This window comes from Homo sapiens, chromosome 4 (genome assembly GCF_000001405.40).
Source record: "Homo sapiens chromosome 4, GRCh38.p14 Primary Assembly".
Lineage (NCBI taxonomy): Eukaryota > Metazoa > Chordata > Mammalia > Primates > Hominidae > Homo > Homo sapiens.
The window spans coordinates 129970294-129991407 of NC_000004.12; positions in this window are offsets into that span (position 1 = coordinate 129970294).

Sequence of the window (21114 nt, forward strand, 5' to 3'; positions counted from 1 at the left end):
TCACCTTCCTTAATGAACTCAACCATCAGTGTATTTGTCAAAGCATTTGTTATGCAATGATCATGCATCCATATTTTAGATAAATGTGAGATTTCTACTGATTTGGAAATATTAAAAATATTACTATATTTGGGCATTTTTATGATTTTCTAGAATTATTTCTTTGAAACCGTGTGCTAAAGTTTGCATTTTCTTATGCTTGTATATTGCTGTACAATACATAAAATGTTTAAGTGAATGACTCATATAATCCCACAGACAGCAAAGAATACTTTGCTGTACTCTTTTAAAATTTGATGTAACTACCGCTCATTAAGAGACATGAAGTGATTCATTCTAGTTCTGCTAGTAATTGTTAGAACAAAGCCTAATACTTTCTGGCTTCAAATTCTCTGTGTATTTTAGCTATATCTTTCTGCCTTCTAAAGGGATCTAGAAAGTAAATGAAATGCCCAACAGCTACTTAGAAGTTCAGAATGTTTATAAGACAAAAACAGGGACTTTGATTTATGACTCAATTCTTTGACAGTTCTTTATTTGAATTTTAAATGATCACTATTCTATTGTCAGATAACATATACAATGAGAACTCTCAGTTCAGTTAGCCAGATGGTGCAGCCAGGAGACGGAGGGAAGACCCAAGGAGATTAAGTATGGAGCTAGAGGCGGGCATATGATTAGAATGCAAAGCCTCCATCCTCCATCCATGCTTCTGATGTTGGGTTGCTCTCTCCAAATGTTTTACGCAGTTGCCAAAAAATCTGCATGAAAATAATATTCATTTGTGCTTGCAGTATTCATTAGTTACCCTAAATTTTCTCTGAATATCAAATACATGCCCAAGTGAGATGAGATATAAAAGCAGCAGGCAATGCAATCCAATTATCCAAGGAATATTGCTAGTCCTCAGCATAGCAGTAGTATGGCTGAACCTCAAAGCTCCTATATGTGGATTCTCTAATAGTTTATATTTTGGAGTTGGTTAGTCATTAGCTTTATAGAACCTAATGGGTTACCTAAAACAAAGGTTGCTTTAAAAAAATTATACACATTTGTACTTTGAACACAGACCTTGTCCATCTTAGTCTAAACGTCTCCATTGTAATAATTCTTCCTTCACTTGTCTTACAGTTCCCTGTGCATGACCTCACATTTAATCACTTACACATTCTTTCTTTTTATACTTCTATACCCTGCTTCCTTTCTCTATAATTCTACTCAACTACATTTATTTCTTAAGTGACAGCATGCCTCAGCATATTTTTCTTTGTTTACTGATTTATTTATTCAGCTGAGCTACAGGGTGTCAGTGAACTGACTACAAGATGACATGTAATGCTGGCAGGCAAGGCATGGGAAAAATCAAGGGAATTTGGGCAGGCATTCCAGATTGTCCAATTGAGGAAATCTGTGTTCCCTAATCAATATTTTTTTTGCTTCAAAATTGTTCCTGGATTTATACTTACTGACACTATCCAGAGCTGTATATTTCCATCTGTGCTTATAATTGCAATTTTGATTTTTTATTTGGATTATAAACCTATCCCAGCTGGATTTTCTTGCATGGCTTCATCTCTGTATGGCAGAAATGAGATCTATTTAATATTATAAGCATATTGCAGTTTAAAAAGTACTTCTGCATTCTACCCTAGGGCAGGTGGTTTCATTTGCATTTTAAAAATAAGGAATTAGAGGTTATTGATTACAACTTGCCATGAAGCACAAGCCAATTTGATTTGAGTCTATGTAATGCAAATCTCCATCTTTCCTCAACAGGTAGTTTAAGGTTACTGAGAGGATAGCTTTTAAAAATTATTGACATTCAATTTTGTTTTTAACAATAATCTTCTTCACTCGGTATCCATTTTCTGGGCACCTTGTTAGTGCCAAGCTCTGTGGCAGCTGTTGAGTAAATACATGTGTTCAAGATGCTCTTGCTGCCAGTAACAACTTAGTTTATAGTTTAATAGTAACTAGAGCCATTTTCCAAATGGTCCAGTTCTGCTGGGTGTATGTAAGAATTTCACTTCCTATCTTCCTTGTCTTTGTCTAATGTGTGTGACTAGTTCTGTCCAATAAGTTTCAAGGACAAGTGTCACCTTAGGTTGAGTATTTGTCATTACGTGATTAGTCAGCATCTTTTTCTCTCTACCACTGAAATGCTCCAGGTGGGGCTATTCTGTCAGCCTGATTCTGAGAGTGAAGACAATGACAATACAAAGAGCCTACAGTGTATACCTGGTGGGCATTTAGTGTGAGAAGGGATGATGTTATGTGTCACTCTATTACTAAAATACAGAAAATTATTGGTTATTGCAATATAAAACTTATAATGACTGATATAAAAAGACTTCAAATTAAATTCTAGGCTTTACTTCAACAGTTCATTATAACTGAAAGAATATATTATACGTATTATATATAAGATAATTGTATATTATATATGTACATCTAATATGTGTAATATAAAATATATGTGTATATATATTTAATATTTTATATGTTAAATCAAATAACGCAGGCGTCTGAGTTTGATGTAATCTATTAAATCTCTTCTCAGGTTGACTCCTAGAGATGGAAGAGCTGTAAGCAGAGACAGAAAAGTATGTTTTCACACAAACTCTTTGGCTCATTAGCAGATGGCAGCAATGAGCCAATAAAATATATTTTTCTCCTTTGAGTACTTTATATACTACTTATCCTTGCCACTTAACACCATCATTAATTTTAAAGTAGAATGTGTTTATTAAAATGTCTTTATTGATTTAGGTGAAAAATATAATTTCTCTCAGTCCTCCAAAAATTAGATCCATTTTCACATAATTCATAAGGCAAATATTTATGAACAAAGCAAACATTATTTTATAAAAAACATTAATCATGTAAAATGTATTTCAAATCAATAAGTAGGAAAGAAAAATAGTGTCTAAGAAAATATTTTGGGTAAAATGGCTAACATAAAATAAAGTAAACCTTGTGAACACCACCTCTCTCACCATATACGTAGGCTGAGAAAGTATTTTTCTATGTCTCACTCTTGTTCCATCTTTTCTGCAAACTTATAGGTAATAAAAATAGACAACTCTTGGAAACACATGCTTCCTCTTCAATGGGGACAAAGTTTTAGGAATGCCAAAAGAAGAGGTTAGAAGAGCAATTAGAAGACAAGCGTGAATAAATGAATCTTTAAAATGCATCTAAAATTTTGATACTGATGCTTGAGTCTCACTCAAATTCTGAGTCACAATAGACTTGGACTATAATATCTAGACCATCTAGATGCTTTAAAGTAGGAAGCTTTTTTTTTTAATTACTGAGAAAACTGTTATTTGCAAAAATGAACACTTGTTCTTCTTGAAACTATTGTGAAAAAGGTAATCCAAATGTTCATGAATGGAGATACTTTTGTACATGTCTGGCAGGCCCCTGCTAGGTACTGTTGTATTAGGGTTCTGCAAACAAACAGAGCCAATAAAAGATGTGTGTGTGTGTGTGTGTGTGTGTGTGTGTGTGTGTGTGTATGAAATATGTATATACACACATATACATATACACACATGATACTGGCTCACGTGTTTGTGGAAGCTAAGTCCCACCATCTGCAAGCTGAAGATCCAGTGAAACCAGTGGTGAAGTTTGAAGCCTGAGAGCCAGAGAGCCAATGATGTAGAGAGTCTGAAGTCTAGAAGCACTGAGGGCAGGAGGTTGATGTCCCACTTCAAGCATTAAGGTAGAAAGTGAATTCAACCTTCCTCCTCCTTTTTGTTCTACTCAGGTCCTTACTGGACTGGATGATGCTTATCAGTCCACCAATTCACTGGCTGATCTCTTCTGGAAACACCCTCATAGAAACACCCAGAAATAATGTTTAACCAGCTGTCTGGGCATCCCCAGGCCCAGTCAAGTTGATGTATAAAATTAACCATCACAGCTGTATAGGAACTATTTCATTTAATTCTCAAAGTTATCCTAAAAACTGATTCCATTCCTTCCATTGTTTGATGTCTCCCAGCTAATAAATAGAGGACTACAATTCCCTGTCATTTCTGCCTGATTACAAAAGCTGTTCACTTTCCACCCGGAAGGCCCAAATAACAATGATTTGTTATCAAAATAGCACATCCATCATTTAACTACTGAGAACTGAACTTGTCCTTAAATGGAAATTTTCCAGTTTTTAAAAAAGATTCAAGATTAGAAATCTACAAAAGGTTTTTGTCTTCATCATACATATATGTTATAAGCAATACATCTAACAAAATAATTGAGCTAATATCAGCAATAGTCGCCAATAGGTGATTTTAAATCACCGAGCAGATGACTAGTAATGTGCATTGTGCCCCTGTCAGCTGAGCTATAAATGATGTGAGGTACTCCTAAACTCCATAAAGTCAGAAAGAAAACTCATATAGGATCCCACTTTTGCAAAACACCCAGCCCTTCTTTTGCATAAAAGCAAGAGACTCTAGGGAACCTTACACATTAATATCCATATCAGTAAGGAGAATAAAAATGATTTGGCTAGCAGCATAAAAAATTGGGAACATCTGAAAGATTCATAGTTCTGCCCTGTCAGCTGAAAAGCATCCAACTCATTTTCCTTCATGCTATGAATGAAAGTAACTGCAGTGGAGGCTATTCCTGTAGCTGTCACTAAATAACTTGCCCCATGGTGTAACCAAGGGATGAGACAGGATGTCATACTTCAAAATGGAATTAAAATAAAATAAGATAAAAATATAAATTAAAAAAGGGCCCTTTTATCTACTGTGAAATTTGAAGTACTTGAGTTTTATCCCCAGATGGCTTTTAAATCAACCTAGTGAATTCTAATTTATTAGTAACAGAAATAGTATTTGGCTTAAGATTTCAATACTCTGCCTTAATCCCTACCAGATTTTTCTGTACTCATGCTGTGGAGCTGTACTCTGGAGCAGCAAGTGACAAGTGAAGACAACCTCCCTCCCTGCCTTTTCTGGTCTGAGTAACATTGTCATTAAAATTGTCAAATAAATTAAGATACCAAGACAAAAAAATGCCCAATTATTTTAGCCAACGCATTTTGCTACTTTAAGTTTATCTTTTAACATGAAAATACAATATTTTTAAAAGAGAAAATCATATAGAAATTAGTTTAAATAATGAGCCTTTTCATTTTAATAAAGCAAGTTTCCCAGAAATGAAATATCCAGTCATTTTTCACAATATTTTTCTAAAATCACTAATTGCCCTCCAACATAATGGAATTTTATGTCATTGACATTCTCATGAGATTCTTATAATATAAACCCATGGATATGATGTTACAATGTCAAACGAAATAAGCTAGCAAGTCTATGGAGGTATATGTCAATGATGCAAATATTTCTATGTGTAGAAGTAGTAATATGTCAAGATGATGGCAAATAATACCAGGGATTTCTCTGGATACTATTTTCTGGAACAAAAACCATGCAAAAAAATGAATGTCATTGCAATTCTTTTGAGACAATGATCTGGTTATCATGGCTATAATAAAAGAAAAGTTGCTAGTGTTTGTGATCATCTGAATTATTTCTTATGTATTTGAGGAAATGATACTTTTATATACCCCATTGTAAAGCACCTAAGAGCTTTCAGTGCCTTAAAAAGAAAATTTTGGTCTTATAACATGGTCCAAATCAAGAGGAAGGGAGGCATTTCAGGGATTTTAACATCAAGAGAGTTTACATTGTTTTATACTCTGTTGGAATTTGATTACTGCTTGTTGAAGTCATCATCAATATCCTAGACTTCCATGCTTGTTAACAAGGGTCTTTTGACTTTGGCAAAATCTGTATTTGACATACTCAGATGAGTTCATAAAACTTCCAAAGTATGATTTTTTTTAAATGAGGTGTGACTTTAATCAGATAAGTGGAGGAAAGGAAAAAAAAAAGGTCATCTGTGATTTATTTAATTCTTTAAGTGTATTCAAGGTAATGCCACAAGGAGAGTAATTTGACCTTACTGGGTAAAGCAATTTATTATAGTATAAATAAAGATATTTTTGGTCCCACTCATTTAAGTTTCTGTGCATGGATAGAGTCCAAATAAAACATTGGAATTCATGATTCTGAATTATGTGAGCTATTTAATCATTACTGCTGGAGAACCAGACACAAGAAGTAATTTTCAGCAACAAAGTTATTAGAGTGATGGTAAAGAGTCCAAGAGAGCCCATCCCGGAACACCACTTGAAGAAATAATCCAAATAATACCATAGCCCCTCAGGAGGAAGAGGAGCTTATGTACACAAACACATGTGTCTAACCTTTCAAATAGTTCAAAGTGCTTTCAAGCATGTTTTATGATAATATTCTTATGACAGAGATAAGGGCAAGGACTATTCTGATTTTGCATGGGGAAATGAACACAAGCTCTAGCCATCATAGTTATTTGTGATTATTTATCTAAGTCGAAACATGTGGAGTTTACTTATGTCTAAAATTTTGTCTAAAGTATCCCAGTTTTCACTTACTTTAGAATAATTCAAATATTCATATAAAATCAGACTATTTCTCCTGGATATTCTACTTCTTTCATAACCCTATATTTCTTCACATATCAAATTGAAATTAATTCTAGATTTTTAAATGCCATCATTTAGATTTTTTCTTATAAAATTCCATTTCAGGTATGGGGTCTGTTGCAATCAGACCCAATGTAGATTTATATTTATAAGCCAATGTAGATTTATTTTTATTCAACATTTATTATGTTCCAGGTAATCTTATTTCTTGCAATAATCTGAGCTTATGAACCCTGTTTTATAGGTATGAAATCTGAGACTTGGAGATGATATATAGATTTCCAACATAAAGCAGGAATTGAGGATGTTCCAGGTACATTTCAAGTATGTGTTCAGTTTCAAAACCTGTGGCCTTCAAGGAGGTTCCTTGCTCTTACAGGCCTACCATCCGTCCACCCATCGATCCAGAACACAATATTTTTAGTGAGAAAATAATTTATTCAATTTGCCATTAGTAATTGCACTTTTGGTAGAGAGTAACAAAATAAATGATTACTTGGATTTCTGTCTTATTTTTACCAGTTATTTTTACTGGTAAACCAGGTTGTATATTTTGGACAAGGATGAAGCAAAATAGGAAGTGTTACATCTTCTGTAGGATTTTCATATTTAACAATTAACCAACACATACATTCATGCAAACAGGTCGATCATTAGGTTTAACATGTGGGGTTATTTCTTATGCTACCTCATTTTTTTCCCTTAGGTTTTTATCGAACCGGAGGTTTAGCCTGTATATTATGTATTTGTAAATGAAATTTCTTTTCTGATACAACTATATTAGCCTCTATTACATTGGCACTTTGCCTTAATGTAATGTCAGTCTATTTATTGTTTAGAATAAAATTATAATCATCTTCATTTCCAACATGTTCTGATACTTGACAGAAAATTCTTTTAGACTACAGCACTGAGTAATTTTAAGACAAAAATTGTTCATAAACATAATTTTGACATGTGTTAGTCTACTTTTTGTTTCCCATAAATAAATCTCCAAGTAGAGAAGTTTACATAGAAATGTTTTTGTGAAAATGGGAGATGCTGCAAGAACTATTATTTTTTGAGATGATCCTCTATAGAATTTTTATAAAAGCTTATCAGAAATAAAAAGCATATATTAACATAGAATGTAAGTAAGAATTCTATTTTCAAAGAAATTACTAAAATCTTATAGTCATGTTTGATTTACACAAAGTCAAAGAAAAACTGAAGACACTACCTTGGAACTCCCCTTGAAATTTTAAAGTAGACTCTATCTATTCCGAGGCTCCATTCTGAATGTTAAATGCCAAAAATCTATCAAACAACTGGGTATACTTTCATTATATTTGATAAAACATTATTTGCTCATTGAAATGGTGTGCTTCTGTTAATTAGTGTTACTCTGTAATTAGTATTACTGCCATGTGTTGCACCTGTTATTCTTTGAAATGACACTTCTTTAAAAATCTCCCTTAAAATTTTGAGGAGTACCAATAATCATCTCTTCACCTACATATTTCCTATTGATAGTTTCTGTTCATATTCCTATCCATGAATCCTGGCACTTATCTAAAATTTTAATCTTCAGAACAACCATTTTCGGCAAATACCATGAACCAACCCCCGTCTTTGTGCCTTGATCTCTAAATAGCCTTCTTCCCTTTCTGGAAGGCTTCCTGTTGTGGTTTCTGAGCTCTTCTTGACTTCTCAACTTGCCTGTTCTCTTTGCTTAGGAAACACATTTTACTTAAGCCAGTTCTAGGACTGGGGCTGAGTGAAAAATAAAAATATCGACTCTTTGTTCAAAAATTATTCATAATTTCATGATGGCAGCAGCAGAACCAAGTGTGGAACCTTTGTAAGTGTGAGGCCTTGTGCAATGCGTAGGTCTCTGCCCATGAAACAGGTCCTGGTTGATGTTATTTGTTGTTATGCTTCAGCACTGCTCTTACTTTTTTGGTACATCCTTTCCCTGACTGTATCTTTCATTACCACTATCAGATTTCCTTTTCCATTTTTTCCCAACAGTGTAGCTGCAGAGGCTTGAGCTGCAGAGACTCTTACCTGTTCTCTTCCTGTTTTCCTGAAAGAAAGGTCAAAAACAGCAAATATTTGTGATTTTTTTTTGAGACAGGATGTCACTCCAGTTGTCCAGGCTGGAGTACACTGGTGCAATCTTGGCTCACTGCAGCCTTGACTTCCTGTGCTCAGGTGATCCTCCCACCTCAGCCTCCCAAGTAGCTGGGACTACAGGCATGTACCACCATGCCAGGCTAATTTTTATATTTTTAGTGAAGACGTGGTCTCACCATGTTGCCCAGGCTGGTCTCAAACTCCTGGGTTCAAGTGACGCACTGACCTAGGCCTCCCACAGTGCTGGATTTACACACATGAGCCACCATGCCCAACCGTGAATGTCTCTTAAAATATTTTTATTAAGCATCTTGCAAGAAATTCTTATATTAAATCTGAATTGATAATTGAATTAAGATAAGAATCATACTATCAAATATTATAGCATGACTTAGTTTTGTTGATGTAATAGGTGCCAATCTACTTAAAGTATGTATGTATTCAATGTTGGTTACATTCATTTGAAAATTAATTTATTTGATAACAGTGTCTGTGACAGTGATGGCAGAGGTTCCAGAGACAATTGTTTAAAATCATTGTGCCAAAATATTAATTTTTATCATCATTAACAGGGTGACTCTCTTCCTTAGGTGTGGCATCGTTTTCAGAATTAAAGAGGGTATATAACCTGCTTCTACCACATCTGATCTCTATCCTGGTATCTTCTGGGAATCATCTTCTTCACTATCTTTTTTCTTTCTATATCTCAGTCTTTCTAGGTTTTGCTTTTCATGTTTCTAAGCTAACAGTGATTAATCTGATAACCCATCAGATGGAAAAAAAAATAGAGAAGATACTTACTCTACTAAATCATCAATTCTTATTTTTTCCATGAGATAAATGTACTTGTTGTTTCATTTTTAGTTTTTATGGGTTTTTCGGCTTACTCTGCAAATGAGGCAATGACTTCTAGTTTACTGGCTCTGTCAAAGTGATGCTTTCAATGAAATTACTAATTTAATTCCAGTTGAATTAAAAAGATTTGGTAACTAGTTGTGGTGGATATGTGGAATATTTCTAGACATTTTCCCCAAAGTAAAGTTATATACTTAGTTGGCTTATTCATTTTTGCATAGGCCCAATACTGGGTCTACCAGGGCTGGTGACACAGAATATAAAAATCTCGTGATTCCGGCCAGGCACGGTGGCTCACGCCTGTAATCCCCATATTTTGGGAGGCCGAGGTGGGCAAATCATGAGGCCAGAAGTTTGAGACCATCCTGGCTAACACGGTGAAACCCCGTCTCTACTAAAAATACAAAAAATTAGCTGGGCACGATGGTGGGAGCCTGCAATCCCAGCTACTCCAGAGGCTGAGGCAGGAGAATTGCTTGAACCCGGGAGGCGGAGGTTGCAGTGAGCTGAGCTCATGCCACTGCACTCCAGTCTGGGTGACAGAGTAAGACTCAGTCTCAAAAACAACCAACCAACCAACCAACAAACAAACAAACAAACAAAAAACTAGTGATTCTTCACGCTATCTTTTATGCAAGGAGAATGTCAGTGACAGCTTGTTCTAGCACTGACAAAAACGTATTTATTCTATATTTCCACTTACAATGAGTTTTAGGCCTTATTCACTCAGAATTCTTAGTTCTTTCCAACAATTATCCTATCTTTAACAAAAAAGACCTGATTAAAACAATGTAATACTTCAACTATAAGGCAACACACATAGAAATAGAGTAAGATATCAGCAATTGGCGTAGAAAGTCATGATGAAATCTACAGAAATTTAGGTGTAGAACAGTTCATTAAATGTTAAAATGTACTTAGCAAATATCCATGCTTAATTGTAGGTCAATATAGATATAAACTATTAATGTTGGCTCCTGATACTTCATCATTATGTCAATAATATCACTTTTAATTACTGTTGGCCTCATCTTTTTTAATACTATTTTCTTGTAAAATATAAACCCTTAATGGGAGAGCAACAGCCTCCTATTTATCACAAGTAATAATTGCACATTATCAATTATAATAATCTGTTGCAAATTGTGCTAATTTAAACTTTTATAGGTTATGTTTTCAAAAGTCTTTGTGATTATTTTTCTTTAGTTATTTTAGAACACTCTGCACACCTTCCATGCAGAATTAAAAAAAAAATAACTAAACCGAAATTTTTCAAATCTGACACTTATTTTAAATGAAAGTATGTGTGTTTTGGCCTAAATTACTTTAGGCCAAACTGTTAATTACTTTAACAGTTGCCTCACTTCTTCATTTTTTGTACTATTGTATATAAACAAATATAATGCAAATTTTATGAATATTCTAACATTTGTTTGGTGGTACACTTGAATTTGCATGAGAAAAAATATTTGTATTTTGTGAAACATTAAATATTTGAAAAAATTTATAAGAGATATGAGTGCTAAAGCTATGTTTATATGGTAAAGTTTATATATATCCTTTGGTGGATGCTGAAGTTAAATATTTCTTTAAAATATATAAATTAAAGTTCATATTTAAAGGATGATAAATTTAAAAGTAATGAATATGAGAGTGAGGAGCTATAGCTAAACTACAAATAACACAAAAAATGTTAATTATTGCATCTGAGCTTAGTTTTGAATTTCCCAAACTTAAATCTACTTAGAAACAATTGATCACAGGGAATAGCACATTTTTATGTTTTTTAAAAATTGTTTAATCTGTTTGGAACCCAATAAATATACATGTCTGAAGACTAAAGACAGCTATGGAGATTTTCAAATAAAAATGTTTTGCTTACATTTAATTTTATTGACCTATTATGCTTGAGTACTTTATTCATAGCCAGACTTGCATGAGTACTTATTAGTAGCCCAACTAAGAATTAAGCTAAACTTATTAGATGATTTTATAACCCCTTATGTCTGATTAAATTGTATCATTTAAAATGTATTTGCTGAAATTTAAGTCATCCTAATGAAGCAAATGTTGATAAGGAATACTATTTCTCCCATAGTTTTAAGATGTTTTCATTTTTTGGTGAGAATACCTTAGCTTTCCAAACCATTTTCTCTTAGTAAAACCCGTTATAGATGATACACCTTATAACTAATTTGAACTGTCTTTAATGATTCAAAAGCAAATTTTATAAAGCTCTTAAATTTTTATTCTGCTTTAAACATTTTAATAAATCACTGCTCTTATCCTTAAAAGAAACCACATGGTAGATGTTACTAAGAAAAATTAAATTGAAATGTCTCCAATGTATAACTTACATTTAAGGATTGAGTAAAGATGGGGTTTCATAGTTATAATTTATTGAATAGCCCTAAATATAACATTAGGAAAAAATCTAGTTACTTGTGAAATTATGTCTTCACAGTAGCTGCTGTTATATTTATATTGTGAATGATAGAGCTAAGAGGTGGTGAAAAATATTTATAATGGTAGATCATCAGGATAAAATAGGGACAATATGCCTTAATCACTTTTTTTTTTTTTTTGGAATGTACTTAATGGAAAGGATGAATGACTGCCTTACTTCAAAATTAAATTCTATTGCCTTGAGTGAGGGATTTGAGTATTAGCATAACATTCTATTTATGTGAGTTATGCTATAGTTTTTGTCATTTTTTACATTACAGTGAAGTAATGCTACTGATTTATGGTTGCATTTTTAAAGGGCAATGCTATACTGAAACCAGAGACTGAAGGAAGCTGAAAGTCATATTTGTCAAAAACTCAGCCTTGACATAGTTTATGATCATTGACTATTTGCCCTGTTTATAGGGCTTTATTTAAGAGTAAGCTAATCTAGCAAGAACAAATATGACTGATGTTTGCCTATTTATTATTTTTCAGTGTTTCATTTTTTGGTTAGATGGCTATAAGATGCAAGCTATATAAAGTTATGCAGAAGTTAAAGAATGCATAGTGCTTTCCGTTTTCATTATTCTCCTTTGAAAAGAATTACTTTGCAAATATTCAGCTTGGGTTCTACCAGCATCCACTATAATCAGAGTAATTTTTAATATCAAATAAATTATGAATACTCTCTTCAGTTATGCAATTGAGATGTTAAATGGTTGTGTGAAGATTTGAATGTTATGGTCTGGTATATAAGGAAATTATCGCCAATGTGAAAAACATTTCTGCTTATAAATTATGAGGGCTTGATAACTTGAAACTTTTATAAGTAAGATTATTTCTAAGTTGAACTATAGGAATTTCAACCTAACCAACAACTTCTTATTTAGCTGAGTATCTGAAAACATAGGGAGCGAACTTATATATTACCATTCAAAAGCTTAAAATTATAAACATATTTTCATTCTGGGTTAAAATTAATTTTTTAATTTTATCTCTTAGACTCACAGATGATAGGAATAATAGCTATCTTTGCTTTAGTTTTTCAGTCAATGGTTATCAGTACATTTTAATTCTGACTGGAAACTTTAATGTAAACAACAATAAAATATTATTTTGATATATCTACAAATAAAAAAATTGATGTTGCATACACCACGATGTAGTTACCCCAGGTATAGTCAGAGCAAGCAGAAACAGTAAGTGACTTGAATGTTAAGTCAGTAGGTGAGGAGGCAGAAAAACCATCCATTAAAGTGCAGTACTAGGCAAATGAGACTCAATGATTATAGCGTCCAGTTAGGCTGATTGGACTGGCTGCAGTAAATTGCACAACTAGAGTTGTCATTCCATGGAGGCGTTATGCCATAGTTTGGATCAAGAATGAAAATAAACTAAGATATACTTTCCAATTTGATAGGTACACTAGATAATGTGCTCCAATCTGGAAAAAACAAATGATTTTCTGTTACTGCAGGAAAATTCAAGTGGTCAGTGTTTCTAGTTTCCAAAACATAACAATACTAAGAATAAAAAATACTGAATTAGTAAAGCTTAATCTATAATTACTACTTACAGTAAGCAAGGAAGATATTTTATCGCAACTGACCTGGCTAATAGAGTGGGCTGGAAGGAAGGAAGCCTATTTATTTGAGACACCATGTGAAAACTTTGAAACACAAAGGGGAAAAGGCAGTTTCATTGAGAATAAAATATTCATGCTGATAACTTACATAAAACAAAAGATGGAGTGTTTTCTGCAGGGAAATTACTTTCTTTGATGAGCTCCATTTATGCATGATGGAGTTTTAAATTTTTGAAAACCCCCTTGGTTATTTTTTCTTCCTTTCAATTCTGGTGGTTTTAATTTCAGGCATAAACAGATGTAAAATTTTCTTGCTAAAAGCTTCTTACACTGTTTAAAGTCGGATTTATGACATAGGCAAAAATAAAATGCCGTCTTACAATGACAGTGAGTAGGAAATCAACAGTTAAGGCATCAGTCTCATGAATTGCACAATGAGCAGTAGCTCCCCCATTTGTTTTGATACTGCCCAATGATAAAATATATCTTCATTTACTTCGCTCATTTTTAACATTGTTTTGATTGAAGCATATTCTTGAGGGATGCTGAGTATTATATCTGCTAACTAGCAGCTTGGGTTCTGGAAGCAATTCTATTTGAGTGAAATCTATTATATAATGACTTTGTTGAGTGGCCTGCAAGCTGCATGTTAAGGTTCAAACCTTTACTTCTTGAGGATAGAAAGCTATTGGTTTATCTGATAATTTAATATGGGAGGCATTTTAGAAGCTGCACTGGCTAGCAAGGATTTGTATCTTATGTATTGCCTATCACCCTAATCAAAAGAGAAGGAAAAGATGGAATATACCTCATCTCTAGAGACTTAGGTTCCAATGGTAGAACATCAGAGTAGAAAGGAAAATAAATGTGTTAATGCTTCTTTGATTGAGCATCACAGAGTCAACATGCAATCTGACACTGCTTAAAAGGGGTTGCTAGTATCAGACTCATAAAGGGCTGGAAAAAGAATGGGCAGGAGAAGAATGTTTACAAGTTGATGTACATCAGCAAGGTTTTCACAGTGTCTGTTTGCAGGAAACTGATCCACTAAGGGCAAATCTTTATGGAAATGTACGTTGCAAAATAACTATCTATAAACAAAGCTCTATATTATTACCAAGTGTGATAAATAGATACCTGTGCTGGCCGAATGTGTATTAGAATAGAGCACTCTAAATTTGCTACATTGAAATAGGTCACAAACCTCTTGCAGTGACCCAATTTTGCACTCCTGGGCAGCAAGAATCTAGCTAATAGAATCAGGACTATGCTTTCACTCCTTATGATCTAGCAAAATCTAGTGATTGCAAGATGTTTTAGAAGCCCAGAAAATGCACATGTACAAACACACACATGTTTAAACCCTCATTAATTATATACTTACATAATTTTTACACGGATTTATAAAAGAAAAATGTTCAAGAAATGAAAGATTTTAGAATGCCTCTGCCTCTAAATTTGAGACAGTGGCTTTGCCACACTGCTGTTCATTTGATAAATATTCATTGATTGTTACTCCCTGGAGATCCAGAAACGAATGTAACCCCCTTATACTCTTAAGAATCTCACAGCTAGCTGAGGTAGAGAGATAAGTCAATCAGCATTTTTATAACTTAAAATGATAAGTCTAAAGGACAAGTTGTTACATGAGTGTACTTTACTCAGTCTAATAAGTAATAGGAGGTTTTGGAGATGGTGATGTGGAGTCAAATTCTGAAAAGTAAATGAATGGGAGGCTGTGTGGGTGTAGGCGCATAAAGTTGACAAGACATTGAGATCTGAGAAAACTTGATTTTAAAGATAAGACGACATGCAAACAGTTTCATGCTCCTGCCACAGGGCAGCTGGAAGGATGGAGAGTGTGCAGGCTTGGGAACCACAGCTGGGATAGGGTCTGATCTCTGTTCAACCAATATTTGGTGGTTTTTTCAAGCATTTAACTTCTAATTGCATTTCTATAATAGCAAAATGTATTTAATAATATCTTATATTTTAGGTTCATTGTGAAAATATGTTTTATACATGGCATATTCAATCAATATTACTTAAAGAGGTTATAATTATCAAAAATGACCTTAACCAGAGGTTCCCAAAATGGAATTACTTCAGGAATTTTCAAAAATGCCAAAGACTGGATCTTGCCCCTCAAGATTCCGATTTAACTAAACAAAGTCAGATTTCAGGCTGAAAGAGAATACAGAAAAATCTGAAAAATAATGGTCAGTCATGAAAAAGGAAATAATTGGAAAAATGTTGTCTTCACCTAAGAAGGCTGTGAGTATGCTAAGAAAGAGGATTTATTTATTCCATAGAACAGAAAGACCGCCATTAACAGGTGTAGCTGAGTAACATTTCCAGGCTGCACCCACTTCAAAATCGTTGATTTTAGGGGCTAAATAGCAAAAGTAAAGTTTCTATGTTCAGAAAGTCTATTCTGATATGAAGTGCAACAAGTCAATGCCTTATATTATGATAGAAAAAGTTGTAAGTTGTATTTCCTTGGACTGCCATGGAAGGAGCATGGAAGAGGTGGCAAGGGAATCTAATTTTGAGGATAAAGAGTCTTAGAGCATTTTAAAGTAACAACGTTTAGTCTCTCTAATTAATATGCATCTCAAAGAGACAGAGGCCCTGCTTTGAAGATCTGAAATGCAGCAAAAGTTATCCTGCCTAAGCCTTTAACCATGGGTTTGATGACTAGAAACGATATTTTTAACCATGTTAGGAGAGAAAGAAATAGGCTGAATTACAGCAGAAAGAATTTAAATACATAGTAGAGCAAATGACGATCACCATTTGAATATTAAAACAACTTACTTTATTTTTGTCCTATCATAAATTAGCCCTGATATTCTATCCTGGTTACCAAGGAAGCAATTGTGTGGCAGAACCATATTCTCTAATGTTAAGGATGACAGAAAACTGAGAAGAAGCCAAGTTCCTCTTAATGAATTAAGATTTTAAAGGTCTGAAGTTTTATTTTTTCATGAAAAACAATAATGCTGATAGTTTGATTATGTAAATAAAGTATACAGTATTACACTTTTGTAATTGATATTAAGGACCTACATATAAATGAATTATTTTACACATATATTGTTTTTCCCACGAAAATACTTCGGGCTAATTGGATAATAATTAACCATATTTATTTTCTCCCCATGAAAGTCTTTTAATATTACAGAAATATTTCCCTATGAGGTATATAATTGTTGAAATATTTCCCACCTAAAATTATCCTAATTACTTTGTGCCACTCTTGGGGTAGAAATATGTGAAATTGCATCACTTTCAAAAAAGATTTCTTTAAAGATCTTCTTTAATTTACTCATCTTCACAAACTTTTCACAGACTTGTAAATTTGTCTATGCATGCTGTTTATTTTTTTTGTTTGGCTTTGTTTGGCTTTGGTTTTAGGGATTTTTTTTTTTTTTTTTTTGCACTCAGCATTTACACAAAATCCCATTACAATCTAACATTTGCTTCAACCATTCAAATAGATGGGGGGTGTGGGGGGTTGTTGCTGTTGTTGTTTATTACACAAACTATTTTCAGGTAAACAAATCCAGTGACCATGTTTCAGTCTTCATCTTATTTGACTTCTCATCTCATTGTGGAAATTTGCATTTCTCTGATCATTAGAGGAGTTGAGAATTTTTCATATACCTGTTGGCTATTTGAATGTCTTCTTTTAAGCAACGTCTATTCTATCCTTAATTCTTACCTTTCCTTTACCCCATATTCCTACTCTTTCTGTAAGACCCATTGTTTCTGCTTCCTAACTATATTTCAAATAGGCCAGTTACTCCCCAATTTTACTGGCCTCTTTCTTGAACACATGACCACCGTCTTATGTCTGGTCTCCTCCAGGAGCCTCCTTGTTAATATCCCACTTATATGATTCTAGTGGGTACCTAACCCATGATATTTTTTATCATTGCATTTTGTGTGTATTCTTTGTAGCAACTACCATGAATTTTTATATGAATATTTATGTTAAATTTTATGGGTATATTTTCTTGTTTATTATCTCTCTAAGCAGATAAACTGTAAGAAGATAGACTTGTGCCTTTTACTCCATCAGTGGATATAAACATTTTTAACAGTGACTGTTATACATTAGGAGGTCAAAAAATATTGTTTTTAATAAGCGACTGACTTGCTTAAAGACCACAAAAGTAGTGCTGTGGCTACCGCCCCCCCCCCCACAAAATCTATTTCTAAGAAAAAAATTATATATATATGCATATATATTCATCAATTGAATAGGTATCATATTATATTTAGCAACCCATCTATAGAAGAGGCAAGTTTGCTTAGGGGAGTAATAGACCATGTTGATTTTATATTGATTTATATTGATTTTAAGACTTAGTTTTTGATCAGCTTTTGTTATTCTTTGTAGTGATGGTGGCGGTGGCTTTTTTCCTATTACAAAAAAAACAAAACTAGCAATTCACTTAAATCATTCCGGTGACTCAAGAGCTATCTCAAAGTGCGCTAATCATTTACTTCATAATTTATTGTCAAATGTTAGTGTACATCATTTTATACACAAAAAAACTAATTATTTTAATGTGGATTTTAAATAGAAACTTAGAAACAATACTGAGATTAGACTGTAGATTAACTGTATAAGCACTGTCATTATATGTTCAGCAATTGGGAGAAGCTACTGAATGCATGAATTCGGCTTTAGTTAGTACCAACATAATAAAATGGCTATAGCATATGGCATGAAAAAGGCCATTTAAGTACGGATTTGGTAAAGTGATAAGGAAAGGGGCAAGACTATAGGATTTTACAGATAACTCATCTGATGAGAAAATAAAGCAAAAAGTTGGCAGTAAAAGAGAGAACAGTAATGGGATGATAGACAGATGGAGAACCAAATACAGCAAGAGAGGTGAAGGAGAGTTCTCCGTGTTTGAAGGCAGATAAAAAGAAAGTCACTGAAGAGGAAAAATTAAATTTGGCAGAGAGTGAGGAAAACATAAGAATTATATCACTCAGAAGCTTCAGTGTCTTCTCTAGTTCTGTATAATAATTTGGATATCAAAAAATATTTTTACACAGTTGTATTATATGACCCTTACACAAACTATTTAAGTATGAGTGAAGTAAGACAGGTGGTTCTATTCCCATTTCACAGATTAGAAAACAGAAGCTCAGTTCCTAGGGTCATGAAGCAGGTAAATAACATAAGGGAGAACAGAAGTATTCTGATTTCTACAGTTTTATACTTTCCACTACACTATGTTGACAGTGTGGTATTAATCTTTAAACAGGAGGAGATTGAAATCTGCTGTGAGAAAGGAAGCATTTAAGGCAATGATCCAAAATGAGTCTCTTTTGCCACCCACACACTTGAATTATTACTACAGCCTAAGTAAATTTCAGTAAACCAGGAGTGTAGAAAGAGATGGCTGTCATGAAGGGGTGGGGGTAGCATTCATTTTTTCATTCTTTTTTTTTTTATAGTGTTCTGTATGTAAACCTTCTACCAATTATTGGAAATACATTGGTGAGCAAAAATAGTCATAGTCCAAGCCTTCCTGAAGCCCATTTTCTAGTGAAAAAAAGTAGGCTTTTTGTCAAACAACAAAATTAAATTTTTAAGTGCAAACTCAAATGTAAAGGCAAAGTACACAATGCTATGAAATAATTTTAAATGAGTCTCATAGAGCTGAGAAGGCCAGGAGATACTTGCTTACCTAGAAGGATGGCAATTGATTTAAATTCTAAAGAAGGAATAAGAGTGAAGTATCTGAGAAGATTTAGGGCAGGCACAAAGCCTGCTAGGAAGACATATATGAAGAAATGAAAGAATTTGGTATGACCAAAAAAATTTGGTGTGCTTATGTTCCTGTGCCCTGAATTAAAACCAACAGTAGAATTTTCTCTTCATTTTAAATAGTTATGTAGTGAAATTGAGTCAGACAATTCTGACTCAATATTTTTTCCAAGTGATGACTATCCAAAAACCAAAGTATGACAAATTTAGTTCATTGATCTTATTGATTTTTAGTTGAGATTCGTGAATCAGGTAGCATCTCATATAAAAATAGAGAGGTGCTATGTTGGACATAGGCGAACAGTTGGGTTTCGTAAGGTAGGAACAAGAAAGTCAAAAGAGCAAATTGGTTAATACCAGGTACTTCATGTTATTTTACTCGTAAGAGTTAAAGCAGTGACTTCCTTATTATTTCAGCAGAAGTTGACTGAGTTCTTTCCAATTGGTTGTTGAAGCTCCTGTTTTCAGACAAAAACTTGTCTGTCCGAGGATTTTCCTACTTCCTTACAGTTCAGTTCGCTCTGCTTTAGTTTGGTCTATTGGGATCTAGTGCAGGAGCTCAGTCCAAAACAATGGCCTTCTACAAATTTTAATTAACATGACTCAAAAACAGAGAATAAAATAATTGCTTTAAAGTCATAATTTCTGGGAGGATGTGTGTGTGTGTATGTGTGTGTGTGTGTGTATTCTTGCAAAGGTCTTAAACAGTGTTTTGCACATGAAAAACCGTCATAAAATAATAATCAGTTAATTCTTTCAGCATGTATTTATTGAAAACCTAGGAAGTACAATGTGTGCAAGCACTCTACTGGAGGCTCTTATCAGCGTTTTATCCTCTAGTATTTGACCAAAGAATGGCCAGGATGCAGTTAAAAAGATTACTTCTTGCTTTGAAAAAGCCAATTCCATATGTGTTTACATATTTATATTTTCTAGATTTCTAATCTTCTTTTCTTGCCATAGCCTCAGGTAGGACAGGAAAACCATTCTTGCAGTGCTGTAGTGATATACTCTCCAATATGGTAGTCATCTGCCACATGTGGCTATTGAATATTTGGAATGTGGCTAGTACAACTAAAACTTGATCTTTTATTTTATTGGGTTTTAATTTAAATAGCTGCATATGGCTAGTATCACCTGCATAGTGCCACTTCACAGGGATTCAGAAAAAGACTTTTAAGTTCCCACTGCAATGTACTTTTGATACCTTTGGCATGAACTTGCTATTTCTTGTATCTTGTGGCCTGGATGTAATTGAAAGAGATTTTTTTTGGTATAAGGGAAAACTTATCTTGAGAAAAAAATGTAGGTGTGAACAAAAGCTCATTTTCCCAACTCTCTTGGGGAATAAAAAGTAAAATGTTGATATCAAAAAGTCTGCCAAAACACGCAGATGGAATTTCACAGGAATTGATTTTTTCAAGAACCCAAAAGAGTTAAAATAAACAATTTTCTTTATGTTTATTATTTGAGAAACAGCCACTCACAAAAATATAAAAACCATAAAAATAAAGGAAATAAAATTACTTGTGTTATAAACATTTAGAAAAATCTGGTGGTGATTTAAAGATAGGTGGAAGATTAATCTGAGGTCAGCCAACTTATTTCTCTTAATTATATCCAATATTTAGAGTTTCTGCGAGACACCCTTTTTTCTAAAATATTTACTTTTGAATATGAATGCATGCAATTGAATTTGTTGATTCAAAAAGTAGAAAAGTAAATAAAGTTAAGAGTATATTTTTCTTCCATGTTTATACCACAGCT